Source organism: Homo sapiens, chromosome 2, assembly GCF_000001405.40.
Source record: "Homo sapiens chromosome 2, GRCh38.p14 Primary Assembly".
Classification (NCBI taxonomy): Eukaryota; Metazoa; Chordata; class Mammalia; order Primates; family Hominidae; genus Homo; species Homo sapiens.
In genome coordinates, this window is record NC_000002.12 from 40370726 (window position 1) to 40375938 (window position 5213).

Consider the following 5213-nt stretch of genomic DNA (forward strand, 5'->3'; position numbering starts at 1 on the left):
AACTAATACCAACTCCAGTATTTTACAATTTACAAAGCACTTTCATACCTGTATTCTTACTTATCAGCATTACTAATACTGTATTACTATTATCATTTCCATTTTACAAATAAGGAAATTGAAGGTTTATTGAAGTAACTGGAGACACTGAGAAAGTAAACCCCAAAGCTCATGAAGCCAAGGTCAGTGCATTTTATTTAGCATGACTTAGTACACTAGTTGCTATTTGAAGGTACCCCTAGACATTCATTTCTATAAAGACCACCTACATTTCATTTTCTGACTCGGGGTACCTAAGAGGCTGTCTCTCTTACTTTCAGAAAGGTTTTGCTACATGGGGACAAAAACTAGAAGGGATCTTTTCTAGCAAAATAATGCCTAAGGTTCAAGGATTTCTTAGTATGATATTGGTGGTCCCTGGCCCAGCCCCTGGAATGATCCCTGTGTGCATTCATTTCAGGTGTTCACAGGAAAGTCTAGATTTAGTACAGGCTCACATTTTCCTTTCAGTGTAGGGGTTAAGATTTTGATAAAGTAGAAGCAAATTGCTCAAGTTAAATCCCTTCATTGTTGCCTTTCAAATATACATTACAGCTTCAGAAATAGGGTGGACTTTAGGTAAGAAGGGGGAGAAAATGGTGTTAGGCAGAGGCCAGGGGCAGTCCTGTTGACTCTCATGGATCTGACAGGGAAAATCAGTAGTTTCTCATTGTGAACATAGGCTTTGATGTCTAGCAAAGCTTGACTACAATGTTACCAAGGCTCAGGGACCTCACTCTTAAAACACAGAAGATGTTAGTGTCTTCTACCTCTTAGGGTTTTTGTGAGGACCGAATAGGCTAATGAAGGTAAAGCACAATACATAGTCAACTTGCACATAGTGAATGCTCAATAAATCCTAGCTCTTGCTATTATGAGATTTTATCTGATTTTGGAGATAGAACAGAGACACATATGTTTAAAGAGGAAACAAGAGAGAACAAAGGTTTAAACTGTCTTTGAGATGGGATGTGCAAAATTGTCTCCCAGCAGAAAGAGTTGATCATATCCTCTGGAAACCCGATCTCTGGCAGGCAGATTCTGAGGCTGTGACATCACTGATTCTTGTTGCTGTGGCAGCAGCCCTGCAGCCAGACAATACGGTTTTACAACAGAACCAGGTCCCCAGTTGGTCTCCTGGGCCAGGCACTGAGACAAAAAACCAGGACTATATTCGTACATGGAACTGGGATGTAACATCCTACCCATGACTTAATTTATAAGCATTGTTTATTCTCTTTGGAGCAAATGAAATGCTTTTCCAAGGGACAGCTGCAAAGGCCAAGGATTTGAAAAGAAGAAAATTATGATAAACCCCTCTTAATGCAGGAAAGATTAGATAGCTTGCTACCAGAAATCAAGAAATATTTATAATAATCACATTCAACCCTAGACTTTCCTCTAAGAATCTAAACAGAAAACTTTAATCCTCCAGAATGTAAACTGATGCCATGGCTATATATGGTCACAGAAATCCTAAGGGGAAGAAAAAGAAAAGAAGAGGGGGAGAAAAAATAAACACCCAGTTGCTGTGTCTCTTAAATTGGTGTATGTGTGTTCTACCACAGAGATCTGTTAACCTTGGCAAAATTTACAAGTAAGAAGCATTAATCAACTTTACACAAGTACACGTGACACTTTCCTTTTTAAGTGGAAGCCACAAACTCCTCTCCCTTTGGGAAATCTCACTGTCATGCTGAGGATTTTTCTTCATAGATAATACTACCATGGCAAACATCAAAAACAACTGGATTCCATATTCTGTGGGCTTGACCGCCCCATGAAGGCAAGCAATATTAACTTTTCTTGTGGTTGACTTCTTTTCTTTTTTTCTCCTTTCTCTACTTCTTTTGGCCTTTAGGCTAGAAAGACTGTTTCTTGAAAGTATTCAACTATTCTTGGAAATTGCAACATTTTCCTGCATTCTTTCTATGTTGAAGACACTTCCAGACTAAGTTTGGGTTCTAGGGAATCTTGCAGAAGATACTTCCTCCCCTGTAGTTAATAAGCCATCGCTTATACCACGGTATTTTGTTGTTTGACTCACGTCTCCAGTGTAACAGTGGAAAGTCATTATCTCTGGCTTTGGTGTTAACATAGGGAGGGATAGCAAATTGCCTCACTCTACTAGTGAATGAATAGAAGAGAAATCCTTGATGGTTTATCAAGAGAGGTATTATGGGAACACAAAGGAAAAAAATAAATTCTTACAAAATACCAACAGCAGCCTTGCAATCCCCGTCAAAATGTACCCAACCAACTTAAGGGGGAAAAAAAAATTCAAACTATGTCCTAGCCATAAATTGAAGAAAGAAGTCCAGAAATGTTAAAAATGTTTATAATCATCAAAATTAGTATTTTTTGCCTTGAAGGATGTCTCTTTAAAAGGCTATTCTTACCAGGTTTTGTGTTGTAATATTAAAAGTGGCTTACAAAAGAGTGAATGTCAATTGCAAAATTAAATTTATCTCTGGGTATGTGATTCTATCTCTTTACTAATATACAAAGCTGTCTTGAATGATTTACACCTACTTTCCACCCACAGGTCCTCTGCCAGGGTCAATCTCAGCAGAAACATGACTCTTCAAAAATAGATCATCACAGTTGTGATTAAATCTCCCATGTTCAAAATTTACAGCCTATAATTCAATGCCGATATGAATAATGACTTAAATAAAAAGTTACAGTCACCCTCTTTCCCCTTCCCCCTAAAATGACCCCAAGACTAATTTACAGTTGTGGGAGGTGGGGACTAAGAGCTCTTGAGTATCTATTTTAAGCTAGGCATTTTTCAAGTTTTTTTACTTACATAACCCTATTTAGCCTGCCGAACAATCCAGTGGAATAGTACTAATTTATCTAATTTACACATAAGGAAATGAAGGCTGAGAGAACTTGAGTAACTTAGCCAAATAGTACAGTTGGATCCGAGGCTCAGAATTCCCACTTTTTCCTTCCTACAAACAAACAGTAGATAAACAAAATATTCATGTAAGGCTTAATGGCAGGTGGCATGAGAGTACTGAATTTCATTGTATGTATCTGCACCCTCCATTCCCCCATCTTTTGCCATTTGTGCTCCATATTCCCTGACAGTGCACCAAAAACAATAGGTTTAGGTATTCTCTTTCAGATATCTTCCAAACAAGTGTGCATAAAATGGACTAGAAGGCAACTTGATAGAGCAAATAAATTCACGTGCTCTTCTCAAGAAATCTGAGAAGAGGTATCAGATACACTCCTTGCCTGACCCAGTGTGAAACACAGGACGCAGTGAGGTAAAGTTTGGACTTTTCCATCCTCAGAGCACACACAAATCCACTGAGGATTAAAACCACACAACCAGGAAAAAATGTTAAGTTACAGAAAGAGCTCTTTAAAGCCAAAAGTCATACAGCTCATGAGAAGAGAGAAGTCACTTTGTGCTCAGGTGAACAGGAAAACTTTAAAGAAAAGATGGAATAAGGCCAGGCACAGCGGCTCATCTCTGTAATCACAGCACTTTGGAAGGCCAAGGCAGGTGGGTTCCTTGAGCCCAGGAGTTCCAGACCAGCCCGGGAAATATGGGGAGACCCTGTCTCTGTATTTATATATATATTTATATTAAAAACAAAAACAAAAACAAAATTTAAAAAAGAAAAGATGAAATGAATAAAAATAATTTATATATGGAAAGGACTTAAGGCTATTCAGGTGTGTGTGTATATATATATGTATGTATTTGGAATTATAAACTGTACATTTTGCATAGGGGTGACTTGATTACAGCAAGGGAAATTAACCTGCCCCTGAATAGGCCTGTAAAGGAAAGAACTAGGTAAAGAAACCATTTAGTAAGTTATTACCCAAATCCAGCTTTGTTGGTGATAAAGTGAACCAAGGTGATGGTGGCAGACAGAATAAGAACAATAACTTTCCCAGCCTGGCCTGACACACATTCAGGCCTGATACACACACAGGCTGTATCAGCCTGGCCTGATACAGCCTCTAAAAGATTATTCTAGAGGCTGATCCCACATGGTGATAATAAACCATTTCAACTGCTTTGTGAATGACCAAAGATGACATATGTTTAAGGACTTTTTTTAAGAATTGAGACACTGAAAATACAGACTAGCCATTTTTAAAAGTACTCGTCAATATCCACTAAAAAGGAGCCCCTTATATTTTCATCTTCCTTATTTACCAAAGCTAGCTTCATCAGTATAAACTAGAAAGGTAATTCCAGAGTAATAAATCTTCCATGGAGAGCTCTCTACCTCTGGCTGCTTGATAATGAATTTAATCAGTCGGGAGAACAGCCCTGTCATTATGGATTAATCACCAAAGACTGTTTTGGTAAGTTGATGCTGTGTTTGCAGCTGATGGTGGTCACAAGACACACTTGATATTTTTAAGAAATTTAGAGATTGAAGGAATGCTCAGTTAATTAACAACCACAAAACACAACAAACAAAAAATAGAAACCCTAAGAACAGCATAAACACAGATATTAGTACCTTTGGCTTTGATGAATTCAAGACAGAATTGACTCAAAATATTGGTAATATTTATCTTCCTGTTGGTTTGTTTGGTTTATTTTCCAATCCAATTAGGGAATTTTAAGCCAGTGGATTCTGGAGCAGGGTGAATTTTCCTAACAAACTTACTTACAATATATCCAATTAGTAAAGTGCAGCTCATTTTAAAAAATAAGCATTTTAATTGGATAGTTTTATTAGAAGAATTTTATGTTTCCTTTTCAACATGGTATCAAATACCATAAAGTCCTCATTAAACTTTCATGTATATGACTCCAGGATCATTACCACAGATAGAATTAAGTAAAGTTGGCTAAGAGTGGTCTAGTCAATTATTCTCCTAAAAGATATTAAGGATTTCAGATGAGTTAAGACCCACTCCCAAAGAAACTGAAACAAGTTAATCACTTGACAACTATATCAAGTTATATGCTTAGGCTGGGAGTGGTGGCTCACACCTGTAATCCCAGCACTTTGGAAGGTCAAGGCAGGCAGATTGCTTGAGCTCGAAAGTTGAAGACCAGCCCAGGCAACACAGGGAAACCCTGCCTCTATAAAAATACAAAAATTAGCTGGGCGCAGTGGTGCACACCTGTAGTTTCAGCTACTCAGAGGCTGACATGGGAGAGTCGCTTGAGCTTAGGAGGCAGAGGC

At 38.0% G+C, this 5213-nt stretch overlaps 1 protein-coding gene across 23 annotated transcripts in view; it reads right to left on the bottom strand.

Annotated features, from left to right (window-relative positions):
* SLC8A1 (solute carrier family 8 member A1) overlaps positions 1 to 5213 on the bottom strand; it is a 415166-nt gene that overhangs the window by 273456 nt on the left and 136497 nt on the right. The window lies entirely within an intron of this gene.